The sequence below is a fragment of the Homo sapiens genome, chromosome 7 (genome assembly GCF_000001405.40).
Source record: "Homo sapiens chromosome 7, GRCh38.p14 Primary Assembly".
Taxonomy (NCBI): Eukaryota; Metazoa; Chordata; class Mammalia; order Primates; family Hominidae; genus Homo; species Homo sapiens.
The window spans coordinates 11,421,246-11,447,822 of record NC_000007.14 but is presented as its reverse complement, the minus strand read 5'-3'; the positions used below and the strand labels follow the sequence as shown (position 1 = coordinate 11,447,822).

At 34.8% G+C, this 26,577-nt stretch overlaps 1 protein-coding gene across 6 annotated transcripts in view; it reads left to right on the top strand.

The window, feature by feature from the left end:
• Positions 1–26,577, top strand: part of THSD7A (thrombospondin type 1 domain containing 7A) — a 461,834-nt gene that overhangs the window by 384,376 nt on the left and 50,881 nt on the right. For all 6 annotated transcript variants that reach the window (XM_006715662.2, XM_006715660.2, XM_006715659.2 and 3 more), the window contains 5 exons: positions 399–593; positions 1,499–1,762; positions 18,698–18,876; positions 21,152–21,157; positions 22,994–23,127. In XM_006715662.2, coding sequence (XP_006715725.1) covers positions 399–593; positions 1,499–1,762; positions 18,698–18,876; positions 21,152–21,157; positions 22,994–23,127 — 778 coding nt within the window. The remainder of the gene's footprint in view (positions 1–398; positions 594–1,498; positions 1,763–18,697; positions 18,877–21,151; positions 21,158–22,993; positions 23,128–26,577) is intronic.

Genomic DNA, 26,577 nt, shown 5'->3' with positions numbered 1-26,577 from the left:
TCCAGTCCCTCTCCAAACACCCTATGCTCAACATAAGCTATTATCAGAACCCACGTATGGTTTGTCTTACATTCTTACAAATTTATTTCTAAATATACCCTACATGTGACATGAATTGAAACCCTGAATACATATAATTAAAACTGGTAAATGCTAAGTATGCATATGTGTCCACTTTTCTGTGCCACAAAAATCACTCAGGGTTGTGTGTTATTTTTAAAAATAACCAATTTAATGGCTACTGGGATTATTAGAAACACTCCTATAAGATTTCTACTGTAAGTAAGGAACTACAAGAGGCTTTCTCTGACTGCTTAACCAAATGTTAGGTTAGCTTCTAAATTATAGAGTAATTAGACGTTTGAATTTGTTATAACAGCTTTATGCTTTTCTTTTAGCCATTACTTGTCGCAAGCAAGATGGAGGACAGGCTGGAATCCATGAGTGCCTACAGTATGCAGGCCCTGTGCCAGCCCTTACCCAGGCCTGCCAGATCCCCTGCCAGGATGACTGTCAATTGACCAGCTGGTCCAAGTTTTCTTCATGCAATGGAGACTGTGGTGCAGTTAGGACCAGAAAGCGCACTCTTGTTGGTAAGAATAATTGGGATGCCAAAGCCAGTACACGTCAAAGTAGAGGAACATAATACAAGTCAGACTGAGAGAATTCTGACAGTGTATTTGAAAAATAATATGCCAATGGATTTAGATGTATATTTTAAATTTAGCTGGCAGTGATAAAAGCATTATGTACTTTTAGTAAAAAGAAAAGGAAGGCTTGAAAATTGAACTCTGACTCCCTATATAATATGCAGTGGATTATTTTCTGGTGTAGACATAATCTTTTAGTGGACTGCCTGCAGACTGTAAAGTGCTTGGAGCAAAGTTTTTGGGGAACAAGAGAAAAAGTTGCTACTTTGTTAACCCATTCTCACTGTCAGAGCCTCAGATTATCCTTTCTCACCTAGAAGGGGGAATATAGCATTAATTCTGTATCTGAAAATTGTATTTTAAACCATAGTAATGACTAACAGCATGAATATAATGAGCAGGATTAGGATCCATCACTCTGAACTAAAGCTTGGTGCATTTGAAATATTGCCAATGGCAAAAGCAACCTAAAAATATTGGTGCTAGTAGAGTACTCAGAATTTAAGTTAAAAAATGAACCACCTATGTAATGAAGACTGTCGAAACTATATAACACAGCCTATGAAGGTGAGAGATAAATATATACTTATCTGTAGTATAATTAAAAAGTATGTGAAAAATAGTGTTCTGAAAAAATAATACAAATTTTACTATGCAAAGCACCCAATACCAACAGGAGCCTATGTAGAAAACACTGTGGAATGAGAAAATAGCATTGATTTATAGGCTACTGTTAAATATGGTTAAAAATGAAGAAAAAGAAATTAGGAAAGCAGAAAATTTAGGGATGTGTGAAATTAATGATGGTATTTTCCAACTTAAATTGCCTGATTGTTTCTCTTCCACAGGAAAAAGTAAAAAGAAGGAAAAATGTAAAAATTCCCATTTGTATCCCCTGATTGAGACTCAGTATTGTCCTTGTGACAAATATAATGCACAACCTGTGGGGAACTGGTCAGACTGTATTTTACCAGAGGGAAAAGTGGAAGTGTTGCTGGGAATGAAAGTACAAGGAGACATCAAGGAATGCGGACAAGGATATCGTTACCAAGCAATGGCATGCTACGATCAAAATGGCAGGCTTGTGGAAACATCTAGATGTAACAGCCATGGTAATTCAATCTTCATTGTTACATATTTGCTATCTTCGGGAGTGTGGAGGGAAAATGCACACGCATCATAGTGGAATGGAAGTGAAGGTTTACAGACGTATATTCTAAATTAAACTCTGAAGCACCACACTATACATATATCATTTATATGTAACAGGACATTCAATGGCATTGCCTCATTGTCCAGAAGTTGGCAACTTAAGTCCCAAAGATAATGACAGGAAGCCTGATGGGGCCCAAATCTTGCAAAGGGTAGGCAAAACTGGTGCCAGAACGGTCCCCCAGAGCTTATCAAGAGCCTGTACATTAAACACACCCAATAATCCCTAACAAGTCTGTGCACAGGAAGGGAGTAAGGAGGAAATAAGATTTGAATCAGTTTGAGATTTAAACAGACTTTTAACACCTAAACTGGCAAGATTTGCAATATGCACAAAATGTCATTAAGCAGCAGAGAAGATGGCAACTAGTAACTGGTGAAAACTCAAACGTTTATTCTCTATTGAATTTAGATTGACACACACACACACACACACACACATAAAACAAACGAACAAACAAAAAGAAAAATGTGCATACTCCTAGGAAACTGTGCCCACTTTTATTTTCTAAACCAAAAAAGAAAGGAAAAACGCAGCAATTATAATTGTGTTGCCAAAAGATTGTGAATGGTGCCATCTTTGACCAGAATATATTCAATCTTAATATAGGCAGTATTAAGCAATTTTCTCTGGTCTTCTTTTATTTTAATACATCTGTCTTTTTATAATGGAATGAAAGAAGTTTACAGTGGGGCAGCCTGAAACATAGATACCACATACTTGCAACACCAGATGATGATCTCTTACTTACTTGATAGAAGTGGCCAAGAAAGGATGAGTTAAATTGCTAGAAGCATGATACATGGCAGTTATCCTCCAACCTTGCTGAAATATTAATATATCCTGCTATTGGAATGGTGCTGCTCCAGTTTTATTATATGGTTCAGAAAACAATGCTAATAAAAACCATCTCATATTTATAAACTATCAAAGTGTATGGTGACATATTTATTGAAATCTCTTAAACATCTCACTACAAAGAAGTTTCATTTAATATATATATACATATATATAGTTTCATTCTATATATACATATATAGTTTCATTATATATATACAGCATTTTATATATATATAAAATAGTTATATATAATGATAGTTTTATATATATAGTTTAATTATATATATAGTTTAATTATATATATAGTTTATACACACACACACACACACACACACAGAGCAGACAACTGTGCCCCCTCTCTTTTTTTTTGTTATACTTTAAGTTCTGGGATACATGTACAGAAAGTGCAGGTTTGCAACATAGGTATACACGTACCATGGTGGTTTGCTGCACCCATCAACCCGTCATCTACATTAGGTATTTCTCCTGATGCTATCCCTCCACTGCCCCCCATCCCCTGACAGACCCCGGTGTGTGATGTTCCCCTCCCTGTGCCCATGTGTTCTTATTGTTCAACTTTCACTTTTGAGTGAGAACATGCAGAGTTTGGTTTTCTGTTCTTGTGTTAGTTTGCTGGGCATGACGGTTTCCAGCTTCATCCATTTTATGATGTATATGTGCCACATTTTCTTTATCCAGTATATCATTGATGAGCATTTGGGTTGGTTCCGAGTCTTTGCTATTGTGAACAGTGCCACAGTAAACATACGTGTGCATGTGTCTTTATAGTAGAATGATTTATAATCCTTCGGGTATATACCCAGTAATGGGATTGCTGGGTCAAATGGTATTTCTGGTTCTAGATCCTTGAGGAATCGCCACACTGTCTTCCACAATGGTTGAACTAATTTACACTCCCACCAACATTGTAAAAGTGTTCCTCTTTCTCCACATCCTCGCCAGCATCTGTTGTTTCCTGACTTTTTAATGATCACCATTCTAACTGGTGTGAGGTGGTATCTCACTGTGGTTTTGATTTGCATTTCTCTAATGACCAGTGATGATGAGCTTTTTTTCATATGTTTGTTAGCCACATAAATGTCGTCTTTTGAGAACTGCCTGTTCATATCCTTTGCCCACTTTTGGATGGGGTTTTTTCTTGTAAATTTGTTTAAGTTCTTCACACAAAGAAGTTTCTAAAACTCTTGTCCTTTTGTTGTTACCTTATCACATAGATTCTATTGTATTGAAGTCTAGTGATATGCAAAGAAATGATAAATGTTTGAGGTGATGGGTCATCTCAGTTATCCTGATTTGATCATTACAGGAGTATGTATGTACTCTGTAATATCACAGGTACCCCATAAATATGTATAATATTACCATTTTAACTATCTTTAAGTGTGTTCAGTAGTGTTAAGTACATTCACGTTGTTGGGCAATCAATCTCCAGATCCTTTTTATTAAAAAATAAATTTTATTGTGTATATTTAAGGTAAAAACAAAAAAAAAGTCTAATGATGTGAACTCCAAAGACTCCATAATATTGAAGCTCTGCATATAAGTATGTTTCAGGTTAATATACATGCATTGCTGAGTTGAAGATTATTACATGCCTTGAGAACAATAACTATAAAAGTAAAGGGAACTTAATATTTATAATCCATGTACTTTGAGAAACATCTCAAAGAGTAATTGAATATTTTATTCTCTATATGAAATAACATAAGTGTTATAAATTAGATACCAAGAAAAATATAAATTCTCTTTCTACTTTGAGGTGATAATGTAGAAAACCATAATTAGCCATTAAAATATAAAATTGAAGATCACTTAAAAGATGTGTTTATTTTGGAATGCAGCACATAAGTGTTTGCTCACATTTTAGCTTGTTATGCATACTGAATCACTAAAATAATTGTTTAACATTACCTGTGAGCTTCCAGAATAACATTTATATTTTCTCACTCTTGCCTTGATTTGTTAATTAGATGCATGAGAGCATCAGCAAGCCACTTCAGTCAATCTTATATTTAGAAACATCTTTTAAAATATTCTGTGACTCACAGAAATGTTTGATCACTTCAAAAAAGTAAAAGAACAAAAATAATTGAAATTGGCCAAAGGCAGTATACATTTTTTATTTTAGTATTGTCAACTCACAGCATGAAGAATGCAGTACTGTATTCTAGAGAAAGGCACTTACAGAAAAATGATGAATCCATGATGACATTGACTTCGTGGGGATTCCGAAAGGATCTCAGAAAGATCCTTAATGAAGTGAATGGTTCTAGTTTAGTTCTTCTGCATGTCCTGCATCATTCCTTTCTCAATCTGGTATCTGACGGAATGTCCAATTGATATTTTAGTGTTTACTAACATAATTACTCAAAGTAAAGTCTTGAGAAATTGAGTCTCCAATGCCTGATTTCTTTGGGAATTCCTGCTTTCCTTAAATATGTTCTGCAAATTCTGGTGTTTGTGGAATGTTATGACTTTGCCACTCTATCCCAGTCATCCCCTAATTATAATCTCTATGACAACTTCTTTCTTTCAGCCAAATCAGCTTTCTAGATGGATGGTTATTAAGTGGCTCTGGAGAAAAAAGTATCTTCCAGCTTTCAATTTAAAGACAAAATTGATCCCCGTGTGTGCAGTGCAATGACAATAATCCCCTATTCAATAGTGTCCTTGGGGTATTTCTGTTTAATCATTGTTGTCTATCTGTGGATCATATTACCAGTTATTATATTCATAAACCAGTTTGACTTTTACCAGCTTAATTATATTATTTTAGACTGTTTCCCACTAGGTCACTTTTTTTTAAGTTTCTTAAACTTGAGGCAGAATTCTGTTATTTTTGAACTTGTGTGTAATAATAGGCTCTGTGCTGAAAAGTGATATAACTGCATTGCCAAAATCAGATATTATAGTATTCTTTGGGAGCCACATAAAAGTTCATCCATCCTGATGCATGGTATTAAATATAGTCACTGCACAAATGATATATAAACACACTTATGGCATATCTGCAGTAAAAACATAATACAAATTTTGTATATTTACTCTTGGTATGAAATATTGGAAGGTGTCACTATAGCAACAATTTTTTAGCAGTTTTTTATGCTTTTTTTTAAAATTATACTTTAAGTTCTGGGAAACATGTGCAGAACCTGCAGGTTTGTTACATAGGTATACATACGCCATGGTGGTTTGCTGCACCCATCAACCTATTGTCTACATTAGGTATTTCTCCTAATGCTATCCCTCCCCTAGCCCCCGACCCCTGCCGACAGGCCCCAGTGTGTGATGTTCCCCTCCCTTCTGTCCATGTGTTCTCATTGTTCAACTCCCACTTATGAGTGAGTACATGCAGTGTTTGGCTTTCTGTTTCTGTGTTAGTTTGCTGAGGATGATGCTTTCATCAACCAATATCATCTTAGAGGAATCTTGTGATGAATAAAAAATGTGTAATATGATTTTTGAGTGATTTAAAATTGTTGCTATCCTCTCAAGGAAATAAGAGAGGGTAGCAACAACTTGATGATTAATTTATTAGAAATGTATTGAGAGCCTAACCACACAGTACTAGGTACTTCTCAAGTTAATCATCTTCAAAATGTTACAAAACAAAGGGCAGAATATCTGGAACTTTTTTATTATATCATTTAATCTTCATATTTTAAACAATCTTAGAGGTAGCCCAGCTTATGCAAGGTACATGTATACAAGATTTCTATTTAAATGGAAAGGATAGAATGGTATTGTGCCACCCCTCAGCTTGATCCAGTGCTCCCAAATCCCTTTATCCGGCTTTACATTTTACATTTCTAAAGGGTGTATCATCTTATAACATACCATATAATTTACTTACTTATTATGTTTCTTGTTTATTCTTTATCTCCCATTCAAGAATAGAGATTGATGAGGATATCTTAGACTATTTTATTCACTGATGTATCCTAAGTACCTAGAACAGTAGTAGGTGTTCCACAAAATTTGTAGAATAAATGGATGAATAAAAAGCTGGAGAGAATGATTTTTTTCCAGATAAAGAGTTACAACCTACTGGCGTTGCAGTGGTTTCTATACTTTGGGGTGACTGTGGCAATTTCTTAAAATAAGACAGTAATGAATTTTGCTGCATCCATTGACTTTTTCATTCACTAAAGAGTTCTCTGTTGCATGCAATGTTGTTTGATAGCATTTTACCCACTGTGGAACTTCTTTCAAAACTGGAGTATATCCTCTCAAACCCTACTACTGCTTTGTCAACTACATTTATGTAATATTCTAAATTCTTTGTTGTCATTTCAACAATTGTCACTGCATCTTCACCCGGAGCAGATTCCATCTTAAGAAACACTTTCTTTGCTCACCCATGAGAAGCAATTCCTCATCTCTTCAAGTGTTATCATGAGATTGCAGCAATCCAGTCACATCTTCAGACTCCTCTTCTAATTCTAGTTCTCTTGCTGTTTCTACCACATCTGCAATTACTTTCTCCACTGAAGTCTTGAACCCCCTCAAAGTCATCCATGAGAACCAACTTCATTCAAACTCCTGTTAAGGTAGATATTATGACCTCCTTCCATGAATCATGAATGTTCTTAATGGCATCTAGGTTGGTGAATCCTTTCCAGAGGTTTTCAATATACTTTGCCTGGATCCATTGGAGGAATAACTATGGCAAGTATAGTCTTACAAAATGCATTTCTTAAATAATAAGACTTGTAAGTCAGAATTACTCTTTGGCCCATGTGCTGCAGAATAGATATTGTGTTAGCAGGCAGGCAAACAACATTCATCTCCTTGTACATCTCCATCAGAGCTCTTAGATGACTACATGCGTTGTCAATAAGAACTAATATTTTGAAATAAATCTTTTTTTCTGAGCAGTAGGTCTCAGCAGTGGGCTTAAAATATTCAGTAAACCATGCTATAAACAGATGCAGTATCATCCAGGCTTTGTTGTTTCATTATTGAGCACAAGCAGAGTAGATTTAGCTTGATTCTTAAGGGCTCTAGTATTTTCAGAATGGTAAATGGGCATTGGCTTCAACTTAAAGTCACCAACTGCATTAACCCCTAACAAAAGAGTCAATCTGTCCCTTGAAATTTTGAAGCCAGCCATTGACTTTTCCTCTCTAGCTATGAAAGTCCCAGATGTTGTTTTCTTCCAACAGAAGGCTGTTTCATCTACATTGAAAAATCTGTTGCTTAATGTAGTCATCTTAATCTATTACCTTAACTAGATATTTGAGATAACTTGCTGCAGCTTCTATATCAGCACTTGCTGCTTTACTTTGCACTTTTATGTTATAGACAGCTTCTTTCCTTAAATCCAAACCAACCTCTGCTAGCTTGCAACGTTTTTTATGTAGCTTCCTCACCTTGCTCAGCCTGCATAGAGCTGAAGATAGGATCTTGCTCAATTAGGCTTTGGTTTAAGGGAATGTTCTGACTGGTTTGGTATTCTTTCTAGACCGCTAAAACTTTGTGCACATCAGCAATAACACTCTAGTACTTTCTTATTATTTGTGTGTTCACAGGAGTACTACTTTCAATTTCCTTCAAGAAGTTTTTCTTTGCATTCACAACTTGGCACCCCCAAACAATTACAATAGTAACAGCAAAGATCACTGATTACAGATCATAACAGATATAATAATAATGAAAAAGTTTGAAATATTGCAAGAATTACCAAAATGTGACACGGAGACACAAAGTGAACACATGCTGTTGGAAAAAATGGCACCGATAGATTTGCTCAATGCAAGATTGTCATAAACCTTCAATTTGTAAAAAATGCACGATCTGCAAAGCAAAATAAAGCAAAGCCCAATAAAATAAGGTATACCTGTAAAACATTCTAATATACTTACATTGTTTCTTTATCAAGTTTTATTACTCTGTGTAATGCATTGGGTATTAAGTCTTAATGGAAAATTGGTGCTGAACACTATTAAAAAATCAAAGCCCAATTCAGATTTGTCCTTTGAAAATAGTCATATTTTTGCTGAAGGAATTCCATATTAATTGAACTTTAATGAAAAAAATGATTCCACATTTTACAGCTCAATAGTTTTTATTATTTTACTCTAAGACTTTTTGTGCTTGAAGAAAAAAATTATTAAAATTGCAAAGAGAACATAAATGAATATATCAGCCAAAATATTAAAATATATCTGTCAAAGTATTGAGGAAGAAAAAAGTCTTTTTCAGTTCATCTAGAGAAATAAGAGGGTTCTAGGTTTATTTACTACCGGATTGTCAAACAAAATACAATATTATGTTTAAGTGCCGGGCACACTTTTCTTTGTGCTCTAAGAATCATGATCCAATGGCTCTAAAATTACCAGGCCTTGGTACTGCCATGTGGACATCATACTGGCATTCAGAAAGCTAACATACAGTTTTTGTAGGCCACTTTAATTATGTTCATTTGTCTTCCAATTGTAGTAACAATTAAATAGTTCAGAATAGTTTGTCTAATGCCTTATTAATATAATATCTCTTTAACATTAATTTTTAAATATAGTGATTTGTATTGACTTTTCCATGTTTTCTCTCTTTGCCTAGTATGCTTGTGAATGATATTACAGAGGACTTTCTGGACATTAATGAGTAGCTTAAGCAATTGCTTTTTTGCAAGCATCTGTAGGATTCAAAGTGTGCTTTGCTAGCACCCAAAGTTTCTCTTTAAAAATTTGCTTTCATACCAGTTTGCACTATAGCACTAATTATTAAAATAAAAAGAAGGCTCTACAAATATTACAAATGAGGAAAAACCTTTTAATAGAATATCTTTACATTATAAATATGTGTGTGGAGTATTTATATCCTTGTGTGGAAACATTTAACATTATTGCCTAATAGCCTAAGCAGTCTACTGCTTATTCCACCAGCCTCTCACAGTTCTGACACAGATGATTCCAAAGCAGGTGTCATGTTTCAATGACCATTACTAGCTACTGCAAAGAAGTAACTGTAAATATGAAACACTGTTTTGTATCACTCAGGGCTCCAGTACACATGTCTCAGCTGTGGGATTCTTTTCTACTAACATTTGTAGGAACAGGAAAGAATCATCAAAAAAAAAACCTGGAAAAGGAATACATCGTGGATGAACTTTAAAAATTATAATACCCAATTTACAAATAGACTTTAAGAGTTTGTGCTTTTAAGTTGTAATATGGAACTCAAGATAAAACTGATAAATATAATCATGAATATGGGTAGAGAATAACCCACCTGACCACTCAACCATAAAGTAACTGAAATGTATTACTTTTTGTAATAGGATTCTACCAAAGATTATATAGGTTCATTATTAGAGGTTAATTAGAAACAAAATTGAATGAGAAATTGTTCCTTATCATAGTGGATACTCGTATTTGAGGAAGAACATGTTTAATTAAACCAGGCAGAAAAAGCAATAAATAGAGTCTTGTAAACAAGCTGAAATGGAGTCCTAATTTCTCCAAAGAGCTTTTCCATTTGGTAGAATTTATTTAATGTCTAATGCATTTCAGATTTTCAGTGTCTCATTTGATAGCATAGGTAGAGCGAGTATTGCTTTTGCAGTTATCATTCACAACTGGAATCTTTTTTTCCTTTCAAATGTAAAAGAGAGGCAGGGGATGAGGGACAGACTTTTCCTGAGGTAACTAGTTGCAAGTTTAAAGAGCCAAGGAAAGAAGGAAAGAGCATCTAAGGATACTTGGGCACAAAGAGAAAGCAATTGCCTAGGGTCGAATTTAAATAAGGTGTGGAGATCAGCACTAAGCTCACACAGGCTCCCTGAGGGAGCACAGAGGAGGTGATGAGGGAGAGAAGGGCTGGAGATTTTCCTGCAGCTGCCATTCATGTCTGGTGTGATGGAAGAGCATCTGCCATTGTCATTTAGTTCATGTTCCGACACCTCAACTCATCTACTACTTCATATCATGGTTTTCAAACTGGGTTTCCCAGAGCCCCTCAGGCCAGGCTGTCAAACATAGCCTCCAATAGATCCTGTGTCCTTATTTGGCTTTCCTTCAGTTTTTTAGGAATAAAGTGTTCTATTGCTTAAAATAAATTTAACTGCCAAGAACAATTCATTATTTGCAACAACCAAAAAAGAAAAATTAGAATTTTGCCTTTATCAGCAATTTCTGCCACTATAGGAAATTTTAGGTCATCTGGATATAAAACAAAATTGACTCTCCTTTGATCTTTTAAATAGACATTTTATAAAACAGGAAATTTATCCAAATAACACTTTCCCCTCCCTTTGTTGAAATTAATTTATTGCTAGTTTATCCATGTTTGACTTTTGACCTGTAAAATATAAAATAATGTAGGAAGAAGAAACTATCTTAAGCTTTTGGCATTTTTGTTTGGTTGCTTGGTTTTGCATTTTCTTCTATATCTGGAAATGGAAATTAAAAAAAAAAAACCTACTTTAAAAAATCTTAAATTCCGAATGTTTCAAAACATGAATTCAATTTTAAAGCATTCCAATTATAATCTATTTAGATCTATTTCTCTAGTCCAGTGAAATGCTATGTGAAAAAGTCAGTCAGTAATTATGGGAATGCAGTATCTGAGTCATTCTCTCAGAGAGTCATAGTTTGTATTACCCAAAAGGGAAAAGTCCAGGGTAAATAGACCTGTATAACCTAGTTTCATGCAGCAGTTTTTCAATTTACCACAGACTGCTTTTTGTTAAAATTATGTTTAATACTTATTAGAATCCAGTAAACTAGTGTTTAAAGATCATCCTTTGCAAATACTTTCATGGCAATATTAGATTTTAATTGATTGAAAGAACAGTGCATTGCACTGGATCAAGTTAAAAATAAATCATTTTAATAAGCTTCAAAATTAATACATCTTCCATTACTTCATCTTCACAATTTGAACACTCCATCAAATATGTTTGTATTCCTGACAAAGCCCTATTACTAATGTGAGGTTTTTAAACTCTGCATCTGATTTTCAACATCATGTTAGTTAAAATTATAAATGTTAAATATGAGGAGAAAGTCAATAAATGCCTTAGTATGTGTAATGATTCCCAAGGTTTGTTATTATGGTTGAATAAGTAAAATATAAACACAGGTTCTTACATATATAAGTTTATTTTCTTTTTTAACAAAATATATATTTGAAAGTGCAATATAATTCTGACACTAACTACCTGGAGTTAGGCCAAACTTCACAGGTTAAGGGCCCAGTACTCCACAAGACTCCTCTCACTTCAGATATCAGCTGCAAATTTGGGAGTCTCCAAGCCAACCTTACTTCTCACAAGCTGGCTGCAAATTTCTGACTTCCCAGTACTGCCCCAGGCTCAGTAATTCACTAGAACAGCTGACAGAACTTGGAAAAGCAATATATTTACCACTGCAGTTTTATAATAGCAAAAGGATACAAATCAGAACCAGCTCGAAAGGACAGGTAGCTGAGGTGAGGGGGCATCTGAAACATGAGGCATCCATAATCTCTTTAGTGGAGGCAGGAGGCATCTTTCTCTTAGCACACTGATGTGCATTTCCAAACAGAAAGCTCACCTGAGCTTTGGTATCCAGAGTTTTTATTCAGGTTTCATTATATAGGCATGACTGAAGAATCATTGGCCATGTGGTTAAATGCAATCTCTCTCGTCTTAAAGGTGGTCAGATAACATGTAGCTCAAAGCTCCAACTCTCTAATCAGATGATTGGTCTCTCCGGTGTGACCAGCCCCTTCCTGAGATATCCTTACAGCATAAAATCATAAGTAGTCTGAGGAGCCCACCATGAATAACATAGATAGTTCTATCACTAGTGAAATTTCAGGGCCGAGAGACCTACCTGGCCAAGGGCCAGGCAAATTCTTTATTATACAAGAGAAGCCTTTAGAGTTTGCTGTAAGAAACGCCCTTGGTAATGAACTTGTACATAGATATCACTCAATGAATCTGAAAAAGCGTGGTCATTGAGTAAATTCCCAGTATTAAAATAACAATAACAAAACCTCACAGCCATTCATACTGATATTGAAATTTTCTGTGAAAATTTATAAATACTTAGCAGATATGAATACATATGCTTTCAAATGTATATAAAATGAATAAATATAATTAAAATAATATTGTATTATACTTCTATAAATTTGCCTGGGTACTTTACTATGATAATTAATTGCCTAATATTGATTTATAACTTTTCATCCATCAAATATACAACGGGTAGAACATTGGAATATAGGAGTTTGGATATATATACATAGTAATTTGGTTGCCCCAGGTATCAGATCACCAGTTTTTAATATATAATTGCTCAAGAATATTGTCCGTTTGGAAAGTTTTTGCAAAATGATTTTTTTTTTCAACTTTTTCCAGCCTGTGAGGACCACAATAGATAAAAGTCTAGCTACATTTTCTCATTCCCAGTTGCAATCAAGTGAATATAATACACAATTAAGTAGAAGAGATTTTTTGAGGTTGCTTTTGAAATTAATCCAGATGTTTCAGAGAGAATGCCAGAGTTACTCATTCACACAGCTATAAATCAGAAGCAACCAGTATTTTCTATGTGCTTTCAAAATGAATTCTTTGATCCATCAACAGTATTCCTTTCAGCAGCACAATTTAGTAATTGTGAAAGTTGTTGAAATCTACTTTATCTCCACATTCATAATTCAAATGAATGAGTGATTGTGTGTATCTCAAAGGCAATATGTCCTCCAGTTGCCACTTTAAGCCTGCTAGTCTTTTGTATTTATTTCAACCTGAAAGCAGCAGTCAAAAATATAATCAGAAGTCTGGAGTTTAATTTTTCCAAGCGTCAAATTCTGTGTTGAACTGCTGAAAGTTTTAATATCCTAATTGTGAAGTCATTTATTTTATCCTAGCATCCTCAGAAACCATACATTGCTATAAGATGCCAGCAGTTTATTTAGCCTTAAAACATTCTAAATGTTTTTCTTTCTTTCCATCCCCCATGATTGTTTGGTGTTAATTGCCCTAAAAAATGATCTGAGCAGAGAAGGCAGGGGAATGCTTTTCTAGCAGTTCACTAGTAGCATTAAGGATTTTAATGGTGCTAGATAAACATGACAGGCAATTAGTGAATGTTGTCAGACATTGGAAAATAAAATTGATATGCTAGGCAATATACGCTTTTGCAGTTTTATCTTTATCTCAGTTTCTAATTTGCATCTATCTTTTAACAGTTTAATAGGCTGCATTTTATTTGAGAGATGTTTTCTGGAATATGCTATTGGAAAATCGGACATAAAAGTTTTGTATCTCCTTCCTTAATAACACAACGTGAATCAGTCTGAAGTCATACATGTTAAATCTTACTAAAACCATAATATTTCAATCAAAAACAATTTTCCATTTATCTGTTACTCTGTGGGGTAGTGACATGTAAGGCCACCAGGTGATTCTATTTTCAGTTATAATTACTGAGCTAAAAAAGCCTAGAGGTTTACTTTTGAGAGACATTTTGCAGTTTATCAAGGTGGGAAAATGCAATTCTTATAAAAATATTTCCTTTGAAATAACTTATTACCTTTGAAATACTAGTGCTCTTTTGCCAAAGCCATTGATAATATTTGGAAATGATTTGGATGGTTCTTAATTCATTGTAGTCTTACAAATATTATTAAATGATTTGGTCATAATGCCATTGATTTGGAAATGACTTTAGATACTTTTAAAGTTTGATTGTATTTATTAAACTATAACTTATTTAAAGAAAATAAGTGATTACTGGCCCTAAAATAAGAAGAGTTATTTTTTGGGCATCTCATACTATTTTAGGTCAATTAATTTACTGCCTCAGCTGTAGGAAAAAAGGCATTTGAAGTATATTTCAACTCAGAATCATGAAGGGGCTTATTTCTCCACCCCAAAGCATAATTAAAGTCAAAATGTAAGATTTAAGTAGATCACTGCAATCTATTTTAAAATTTCAGTAACACTACTGTGAAATATTCCTTTAGTTCTTTGTTGGACTTTCCTCTGGATCATTATCGATACTCCAAAAGTCATCTTGAATATATGAGAAGTACATTAGAAACTTAGCAGTGGCATCTTCTTTCTGTCTTCTATGTCTCACAACAAACAAAATCCCAACTCTGCCACATCTGCCCTCCAGAAGATTATCTGGGACTAATGCCCACTTTCAGAACTTTTCATTGTATCCTAATCTTCATGCCAAATTTGTGATCCCATTTTTTAAAATTTATTTTATACTTCATTTACAATGGATAATATAATATACATACCATCCAATTTATCCATTTGTCTCCTAGGAGTACACCAAACAGAAATACATACATATGTCCATCAAAAGACACATTCTAGAATATTCATAGCAGCACTGTTAATAATGGCCCCATATTGAAAACTACCTAAATGCCCACCACCAATAGAATGAATAAACAAGTCATAGTATATTCACACAATAGAATGCTACACATCAACCAGAATAAACAATATTCAGCAATATGCACCAACGTAGATAAAACGCATATCACAATGTAGAGTGAAAAGGCTAGCACAAATGGATATAAACTATATGATTCGATTTACATGAAATTTTTAAAAAGTAAAACTATTCTACACAGTGAGTAGTCAGGATAGTTGTTGCTCTTGTAAGAAGGGGCAGTGGCTGCAAGGGAATACGGAGGAGAGTTCTGGACTATTGATTTCAGGGGTGTGTTCAGTGAAATTTACGTCTATGGAAAATGCACTTTTGCATATGAAGACTACAATACGAAGTTTAAAACAAATATCTTTGACAAATGTATAGGAGATACTACATAAAAAGATATGCCAGAAATCTATTTATCTTCCATTTTTTTTGGTTCTGTCTGTATCTTATAGTAGCACTTCCTAACTTAAGACCTACACAATCACACACACAAATGATTAAAAGTAAAGCTTGTGAAACCTGAGTAAGTGCTATGGATTGTATTAATGTCAATAACTTGAGGGTGGTAGAAGCTTATGTTTTTAACATGTGTCTCAGATAATTTATGATTAGGCAAGGCTAGGAAATACTGTATAGTAAATTAGTATTTTAACACTTTCAATACAGGACAGTTTGGGCACAATCTTATAGATTAAATTTGCCATTTTGGTTTAAAGGTGGTCTGACTTTCCTTTAATTAAAGAAATTAATGTTGGTAGGTTCTTTTTAAAATCCACCTACAATAAAAAGAATAAAATACTTAGGAATAAATATAACAAAATAAGTTCAAGACCTGTACACTGAAAACTACAAAACATCATTGAAAGAAATTAAAGATCTATATAAATGGAAATGAATTCCATGTGTCTGAATTAAGACGGCAGTGCTTCCAAGTTGATCAACAAATTTGACACAATTCCTATCAAAATCCTAGCTGCAATTTTTTGCAGAAATTGACAGTCTAATTCTAAAATGCATATAGAAGTTTGACTCAAAATAGCCAAACCTATCTTTAAAAGGAAAAACGAAATAGGAAGACTCACACTTCTGGATTTCAATACTTGCTTCAAAGTTACAGTAGTCAAGACTATGTGGTACTATCATGAAACTAGACATGGAGATAAATGGAATAGAATTTACAGTTCAAAAATAAATCGTTACACTGTGGTCAACTGATTTTCAACAAGGGTGCCACAACAATTAGGAAAGAACAGGTTTTTTCAACAACTGAAGACAGGATAACTCAATAACCACATGCAAAAGAATGAAGTTGGACCCCTACCTTTTATCATAAACAAAAATTCACTCAAAATGAAACATACACCTAAATATAAGAGCTAAAACTATTAAATTCTCTTGAGAAAACAACTATAAACCTAGATGACCTTGACTTTGGTAGTGGATTCCTAGATATAATACCAAAGCACTAACAACCAAGGAAAAAAGATAAACTGGACTTCATTGACATTTAAAACTTTTGTTCTTCAAACAACACCAAAATTTTAGAGACAATAACAAGTTTGACAAGAATTCATAGAAATTGGAACATGCGTGCATATCTGGTGGAGTATAAAGTGCTGCAGTCATTTTGGAAAACAGTTTGACACTTCCTGAAAAAGCTAAGTGAGTTACCACATAACTGAGCAATTTCACTGTAATGTATATATTCAAGGGAATTGAAAATGTATGCCCACACAGAAGCTTGTAAACAAATGTTCATAGCAGCATTATTCATGATAGACAAAAAGTGAAAACTCAAATGTCCATTAACTGATGAGTGGATAAACAATGTGAAATGTCCATACAATGAAATATTATTCAATCATAGAAAGGACTGAAGAACTGATACATGCTATAACATAAATGAACCTTGAAAACATTATACTAAGTGAAAGAAGCCAAGCCAGGCATGGTGGTTCACACCTGTAATCCCAATATTTTGGGAGGCCAAGGATCACTTGAGGCCAGAAGTTCCAGACCAACCTGAGCAACACCGTAACACCTCATCTCTATAAAATATATATATATATGAAAATTCGCCTGGCATGGTGGTGGGCACCCTTAGTCCCAGCTCAGCTACTTAAGAGGCTGAGGTAGGAGGATCTCTTGAGTGCAGGAGGTCAAGGCTGCAGTGAGCTATGATGACACCACTGCACTCCAGCCTGGGTGACAGAGTGAGACATCTCTAAAACAAAAAAGAAATAAGATCACATAATGTTTTACTTCATTTATATGAAATGTCTAGATTAGGCAAATTCATAGAGATAGAAAGTAGATTCATGGTTGTCAGGGGATGAGGAAGGGGAAAGTAGGAAGTGGCTGCCAGTAACCATAGGGTTTATTTTTGGAGTAAAACAAATGTTCTAAAATTAGATGGTGATGATGGTTGCACAACGCAGCAAACATACTGAAAACCAAAACATGGGGTTATTTTTATGGAATATGAATTATATCTCCATAAATTTTTAAAAATCTACCTAGAGTTGCCTAGTATCAATTGTTTACATTATAATCATTGTCAAAATCGAATCTCTGCTGTTGAGATAAAATGGCAAGGCAGAGTGTTTTCTTGTACCAAGAACACCTTCTCTCCACATTCAGACTATTATAGAGGACAACCGTGCGTTTCATTCTTGACTAGAGGAATTTTGCTGTTTTCACATGTTTGCCTTGAGAATAATAGTGTTTAATTGATATTGTGAAATGGCAAGTTTGTAGTTAAGAAGTATTGAAAGAAAATACTCCCATTTCCCAAAACAAATCTGTGCACTATTAATCGAATTGGTTGGATGATTTGATGGAATGAGTACTGGATTAGACCTCAGAAAACTTTTCCCTGTCTCTTACTGTGTAACCTTGGACTCAGTCAGTCATCGCTCTGCATTTGTTTTCTTACCTGCCTGTTAGAATGTCAATACTTGCACAATTCATACATAAGATTTTCAAGAGAATCAAATGGATATAAGATGTGAAGATGCTCTGAAAGTGACAGCATGTAAAACATGAGACATTACTTAACATCCTGCATTTTTCTTCAGACTTGATTTTCAAAGAAGGAGAAACGCAAGATGCTAAGTTAAATGGTTCCTTTTGGGTATTGAGTGAAAGGGACTGGGATTTCTTAAGAAAGAACGTTGCATGGACTCAGAACCCTGAACTTGTGTGACATTAACAGATAGGGTTTTATAGAAAACTGTTATAATTTTTTAATGTATCATTCTGTCAGCATGAGAATGATATGGCAGCAGACAGGTTATTGTCAATTAAACACGAGCTGTCAGTCAGAAATGTTGAAATATGGTGAGCATGAATCCTAAGCAGATCACATGGCAGCTGCTCAACTGTTATTTTAACAGAGTCACTGTATGTATGTGACATTTCCCTGCAGAATTTAATTCAAGTCCCTTACAACAGAGACACCTCTGCATTTGCATGCTGCTGTCAAGTCAGTCTTGGACCTTCTAAATGACCTAGAATAGTGGGTGGTAATGGGAGAGTGACAGGTGGAGGAGATGATTCTTGTCTCATTTTCCTCTACTCAGGTTACATTGAGGAGGCCTGCATCATCCCCTGCCCCTCAGACTGCAAGCTCAGTGAGTGGTCCAACTGGTCGCGCTGCAGCAAGTCCTGTGGGAGTGGTGTGAAGGTTCGTTCTAAATGGCTGCGTGAAAAACCATATAATGGAGGAAGGCCTTGCCCCAAACTGGACCATGTCAACCAGGTATTTTCTATCATTGACAGTGTTAAGATATTGTTGAGATTCACAATGATCTGATTTTTTCTCCAAAATGGAGAAGAGGAAATAATAGCTATTGAATAAAAAATTGACCCATTTTTACCATTAGAATGCCTGAATAAATACATACATGTTATTAAAATTTCAAATTAGACATATCTGTATTCTCTGGAGATTCCATACCTTGCAAGTATATATGAATATGTATGTAATTCAATGGGGAGAAAAATGACACCTATCTTTGAAATAATGTCAAGGTATTTAATCTGTCATAAGATTGTATCTAACATGTAGGCTGAGATTATCTCATTCTTATAGTTTCCCCAAACTGTCAGAAAAGACATCTCAATTACCAAATGCTTAAATTAAAATCAAAGAAATAATATGGGTTTTGGTCTAAAATTAGGAAAAATATATACTGTTTATTTAAATGTGTTTGATATAAAACAAACTGAGAAAAAGAAATACAAAGATGGCCTCAAAATCACTGTAAGTATGCTATCAATTTAGTCATTGACCATTTTCAATTTTATTTGGAACTCTGACTTTTGATGCATTCTTTCTTACCTGCTGTTAATAGTTGTCGTTCTGTTCTATTAGAGATAAAAAGAAAAAGCCTAATGGAGGAATTGTGACTGATTTAAATGGAATGTAACATAATCAGACAATTATTACCATGTTTGGCCTATAAGTGAATTAGCAAAGAATAATTTCATTTATTATGTGTGGGTGTTAAGTTGTGTATTTGAATTTAAATCACAATCAAATGAATCAAGTCCTTAAATATGTAGAATTGTTTCATACATACATAGACTCATTTTAATCTCTAAACACACTGCTTACCTGTATACATACTTTCCTTCCCAGATTAACATAACTTTGTTCATAATAAAAGTACATTGTAGAGAAAACAGAAAGAACCTTGGAATTAAGTAAATTAAGATGAAGATCGTGAAGAATTAAATTCTATAAAAAGTACTCTAAAGAGTCTTGATTGTTCCCCAAGTGAAGTTGCTGATTTTATCTTTATGTGCAATGGAGGGTAAATAACACACTCCCTTGCTGCCATCTACTGGTAGTTTAGCTTCCATGTCACAGAGCATTTTGCATTTCTAAGATGCTAAGGAAATTTCCAAAGAAAATTCAGTTCAGCAACTATAATTATATAACTGCAAAACAGAAAAACTGAACTAAAATGTTTATAATACAAAAGAATATTTCTCTACAAATTTTGAAACCTTGAATTTTCAGTAGCAAATTTAAATAAATTATATATGACTCCCAATCCTAATAAAGAGAAATTCTACACATACTCATACCTATTTCACTTTAGCGTGTATGTGTACACCCAGTCAGATATGCAATTAAAATCTGTGTTTTCCTCAGATTTTCCTTAAGTGAATTTCCAAAGGTTCAAAACCTCAGGCCAAGTTGTCTTTGCTATTCCTAGTGTTTGGCCTAAACCATTTGTCACTTTCCAACTCTAATATATTCTGATGCAGTTTGATAAGGGTATTGTGACTTGGTATCGGTTGACTGAAGGCTTACTGAGACATTAACAACTGAAAAATCAAAGCTAAAACAAATAATAAATTTTTGAACATTTGAGCCTAAATGTTCTGCATAAAAATAGAAACTTCTATGAATTTGTGTATTAAGAAATTTAGGGAAAATAAAAATGTAAAGTTTTGTGTTAATGTTGAAAATTGTAAATCACATAGGTGTTTACTACAATTATATGTTCCTCAGTAAAATAATCAGAAGCATTGGCTTGAAAACAGTCTCTGAGTTTCTATTTTTCTAGCTGAGGAAGGAAGTACTCAAATCCTCATTTTCTACAAAACAGATGAACTGATTAAGGTAAATCAACGGATAGATCAATCTATAAATATACTGATAGACAACAGTACATTGACAAGTTGGATCACAAGTTATTTGCATCATATATCAATTTCCCATGCTATGTATTGTGAGGTCAACTCCATTTTCTAAGATTTCTCCATCCTGCCCATCTAATTTTCTCATTGGCTCTGCTATTTACAATACCCATTTGTGTATCTTACTTTTTAACATTAATAAGTAGTTGTGTATTATCTCCTGAGACCTAAGAAAAATGTTCTAATATTTTACCAAAAAAGTAGGTTTTTACATGTAAGTAATAATACTTGAAACTTACCATGTGTTCTTCTCATAGCATACTGACATTTTCACCTACCTTATTTCTCTCCCTTTTCATCATTCCTGTTGAACACCACTCCAGGCACAGGTAAGAACTCTTAAACCTCATGCTTTTTGATAGAATCCTTCTTTTCTTAAATTTCCTGATTTCTGAGAATACATTTCTCTTCTTGCTTTGTCTTTTATGTTTTACAGGGAGAAAATGTCATATTTTCCATTAAAGAATTTTTTTCTATAACTGTTTTATTTTTCTTTTCTATCATAGTTACCTGTGTTCCTACATTTCATATCCCTCATTGTAATATCAAGGACTGAGGTGAACAAGAGTTGGGGAGAACAAGTTTCACTTCGCTAATCTCGACAGGCAGTGACACCCATTATTAATGGTCTTGTGCTTTTCAGAGGGAGAAGGAAAAAGTGCAAGTGGACTGAAAATGGGTGGGTTGGAGATTGTTCTGAACTGATGGGTATTCACTTCAGTACAGGAGTTTAAAATAAAAGCCATCAAAGGATTAAGAAGAAGAGCATTTCTCCTTCAGTTTTTCTTTTCACTGCAAGTTGTAGGGTAATGTTTTATCCTGTGCTATTTAGTTCTATTTTTAATACAGCAACTAAATGTGAATATAATCACTTATGGCAATAATTGCAGAATTTGACTCCAACAGTGCATTTTTTTTTTAATGTTTTTTTTTTTTATTATACTCTAAGTTTTAGGGTACATGTGCACATTGTGCAGGTTAGTTACATATGTATACATGTGCCATGCTGGTGCGCTGCACCCACTAACGTGTCATCTAGCATTTTTTTATTCCTCTTTGAGACAGGTCCACTTTATTCATTTTACTTAGGTTTTTAGTTCACTAAAATTGGCACAAAAGAATGGCTGCAAAGGGCTATTTAAATCTATCTTTTCTAGAATTCATTACATAAAAAGCTATAGTTTCTCTCTTCCCTTTCTCTCTCTCTTGCTCTCTGTCTCTGTCTCTCAGTGTGTGTGTGTGTGTGTGTGTGTGTGTGTGTGTAAAATAAGGGATAGAGTTGGACTATCACAGATTAGAAAAATACTTTCAAAGAATTTTATTTAATGCTTGAGTCAGCTTGGTTGCAATGGATTAAGTGCCATTTATTTCCTTTATTTAGTCATTCTTCTCATTGAAAAAAGAACATAATTGGTTCATTGTACTAAAAAAAAACCTGAAACCAAGCATACCACCCCAAATGTGGGACTGAAAGGCTTTATGGACCCTGGAGCAGAGACAATTTGCCTTGTTTCATGTGGCCCTCACTGCTTGGGCTTGTACACCAATATCAGACTTTGCTTCCAAGCCTTAAATGATTGAGGATTAGTTTTAAGATGGCTTTATTTCATATTGTTTATCTTTTTAATTTAGTTTCCCATATGATACACACCAAAAATCTAAATTCTCATCATTATTTATAGTTATCTGGAAAATAGGCCAAATTATATTTATTTGGAAAACAGCTATGTTTTATACTTATTTGATTCATCAATCCTCATCCTTCATTCAATCATTCTGCAAATCCCTATTGAGTACCTAACATGTGAGCACCCTGGGCTAGTATTGAAGTCACACAAAACTGTAAATGACACAGATGGTCCAGAAAGTTACAATACGGTGTGTTAAGGGTCAGCATAGGAAAATATGTAACCTATCTAATGTGATCCAGTGGATCAGATTTACACCTGCAATGTAATAGCAGAGCAACAGAGTACAATATGGTTAGCCCTATCCTCTACTGCTAGAACTCTTGAGTTCTCTCTATTGCAATGTTAGAATAATAAGCAGTAAAGGAGGGGAGTGAAAGTAGCTTCACAGTGAAATGATTGCTGTTATGGTGTGGAAGTCTTCCTCCTCACTCTTACCAGATTCCCTGAGATTGCTGAGAACCATGTGTGTTTCAGGTGTATGAGGTTGTCCCATGCCACAGTGACTGCAACCAGTACCTATGGGTCACAGAGCCCTGGAGCATCTGCAAGGTGACCTTTGTGAATATGCGGGAGAACTGTGGAGAGGGCGTGCAAACCCGAAAAGTGAGGTAAGACAAAGCCTAATTATACAGAAAAGCAAGACACAAAACTATCTCCCAATTGCACATGTGCCAACATGACTGTTCACTCCTCCCCAGTCTTCTGGATAAAATTGTCTGCAGTTTTGCTTTTAGGGAATCTGTGCTCATAGAAAACTCTAAGAGAATCTGCTTCAAGCAGCAGTTTATTATATTCTGGCCTTCTGATTTAGGAAGCATCACTTCAAATACTCTTAAAGAGAAGGAACAGCATATTCAATCTGAACTAATGCAGATTTTCAACCCCAATAACTTTTTTGCTTCAAGGCCAAATATATTTCCAAGTTCCTTTCTAAAATAATCTGTTTTAAACTCTTGCTCTTTTGTATCAAACTGGCTAACTGAATACTATCCTGTTGTCCAGGGAGCTTTCTCTGAAGCCCCCAGCTGGTTCCTGCGTGTCACTTGTTCTTCTGTAGCTACACTGTCCCATAGGATAGCCACTAGCCACACTAACTCAATTTAAATTAAAAAAAATTAAGTTTAAATTAAATTAAAAATGCATCTCCCCAGTCACACTAGCCATGCTTCAGTGCTCCATAGCCACATGTGGCTGGCAGCTATCTGTTGGAGAGCGCAGACATACAGTATTTTTTGTAATGGCAGAAAGTTCCATTGGACAGGGTTGTTCTATTACACTCCATATACCCCTCACTGTGTTGAAAAGACCCCTCTTCATGTCTATCCCCTTAATAAAACTTTATAAAATTTCTTAAAACAGAGACCCCACATATTCATAGGAATTCCCTACTGCCTAACACTAGATTGATACTCGTTAAATTTTCCATACAGTATCTATCACATGATCCTTAAGGGCTCTAGAACTCTATGAAACAAATGCACGAGGTTTTATCACCTCCATTTTGTAGATTAGATTCCCAAGTGCTAAATAATGTACCAAGAATACCCATCTAGTAAAGTGGCAGCCTTGGAATTCAAACCCAAGTCTCCCATCACTCTTTTTAAATACACTGGTTTCTTTTAACCCTTCTCAGTGGCACCCAGGAAAGACAAATATAAAAACATCCAACCACTTTGGGAGGCCGAGGCGGGTGGATCACGAGGTCAGGAGATTGAGACCATCCTGGCTAACACGGTGAAACCCCATCTCTACTAAAAAATACAAAAAATTAGCTGGGCGTGGCGGCGGGCACCTGTAGTCCCAGCTACTCGGGAGGCTGAGGCAGGAGAATGGCGTGAACCCGGGAGGCGGAGCTTGCAGTGAGCCGAGATCGCGCCACTGCACTCCAGCCTGGGGGACAGAGCGAGACTCCATCTCAAAAAAAAAAAAAAAATCCAGCACTCGGCAACCCATGTTATGAAGAAGTTCATTCTTACCCATAACCCAACCTTTCATGCATTTAAGATTGGTGTTTTAATCTACTTCAGTAGGAAAGCAGAACAAGTTAATATTTGTTTTACCGTATAAAACCTTTGCATATGGACCTATATATAATTTTATGTCTAATAAAAAGTTTTATATTTCTTTTTTCAAAAGCCCATCTGAACTCTCAATTTGTTTTTTCTCTGAGGACCTTAATATAGGTGGACTGGGAATGGGGAAGAGGTAGAGAGGTAATAAGTAGATAGGGACACAGAAAAAGAGATTCTGTTTTCCACTATTCTCCTTTCAAATTATTTTTTTTCTTCAAAATAAAAAATATTACCTTAAGAATTTGATCAGGTTGGTTGTTTCATTAGTAAAAAAAATTATAGGCCGGGCACAGTGGTTCATACCTGTAATCCCAGCACTTTGGGAGGCCGAGGAAGGCAGATCACAACGTCAAGAAATCAAGACCATCCTGGCCAACATGGTGAAACCCTGTCTCTACTAAAAATACAAAAATTAGCTGCACATGGTGGCATGCACCTGTAGTCCCAGCTACTCAGGAGGCTGAGGCAGGAGAACTGCTTGAACCCAGGAGGTAGAGGTTGCAGTGAGCCGAGACGGTGCTACTGCCCTCCAGCCTGGCCACATAGCGAGACTCCATCTCAAACCACTGGGTTGTTTTTTCAGCTTTCCCTTCAACTATCTGTGTACATGTTACTTTTTTTTTTTTTTTTTTTGCTTTGTAAATAGATAGTCTTAACATTTCCAAACACATTCTAAACAAAGTAACTTTTCAGATCAATTTATTTTTTCAGTAAACAACTTCAATGCAAATAGAGAAGAGAGGTCAGTATTGATTGCGATCTCTAATCATGTAATGATGTTTCTGTTTGTTACTGATTGAGTAGTACACTTCCCTTAAATTATCCTCTGCTAATGAAGGTCAAAATGTCCTGCTTGAATGCAAGTGTTGGGTAACATTTCAGGATAGATGGGTCTATAAAAGAGGAGGTTTAAATTTATTCAATTACACTCTTCCTCTTTAAGGATGATATGGCCTATCAAGGAGTGGTGGTAGAAGTGGTTTACCTTGGTAGGGAAGGATATTTTTTTCACTGACTTTTTCTAGAATTGCCAGCACACAGTAATAATAAAAAACAGACAGACTTAGTTATTGTTGCTTTTTAAATCTATGCAGAAAATACACTGTCTTATTACCACACCTGTGATGGGCTTCTGACTCAACCCTTTGTCTACAACTTGGTTCTACACCGTGTATCTCTAATATAGTTCAGTTTTCTCAAAGTATAATTCTTGCTCCTTAGAAAGGAGAAAGGCCAAGAATTTGGAGAAAACAAAGGAATTTAAAGTGCCTTCCTTTGGGCTTAAGACTTGATCCAAATATTCTGTATTCTAGGGTGATTATAAAAATTTTTAATATAAAATAACAAAAATAAAGCCTGTAAGTATAAATGCCACAACAGGGACATTTTAACAATTGTGGCACATTTAAGCAATGGAATTCAGATGTAGACATTAAAATATATCTTAGAAAAATAGTTAATGACAGGAAGATGTTCATAATATATTGTAGATTTTTAAAATGGTACAAATAGGTAAAGTTTGCTTCCATTTTGTAAAATGAAAAGATACATTTAAAGTAATAGTCCATTAATAAATATAGTCTGTTATGAGTGGTTATCTCTGATGAAATTGTGGAAATTTTTATTTCTTCTGATTTTCTTAAAATGAGTATATTACTTGTAAAACAAAAAAATAAAAGGAAGAGAGATGTATTAATCTTTTCTCATAGTGCTATACAGAACTTCCTGAGACTAATTTATAAAGAAAAGAGGTTTAATTTGACTCACAGTTCCACAGGCAGTACAGGAGAGACATGGCTCGGGAGCCTTCAGGAAACTTACAATCATGACAAAAGGGTGAAGCAGAAGCAAGCATATCTTCACATGGCAGCAGGAGAGAGAAAGAGCGAAGGGGGAAGTGCCACACACTTTACAACAACCAGATCTCATGAGAACTCACTCACTATCATGAGAACAGCAAGGGGAAAATCTGCCCTATGATCCAAT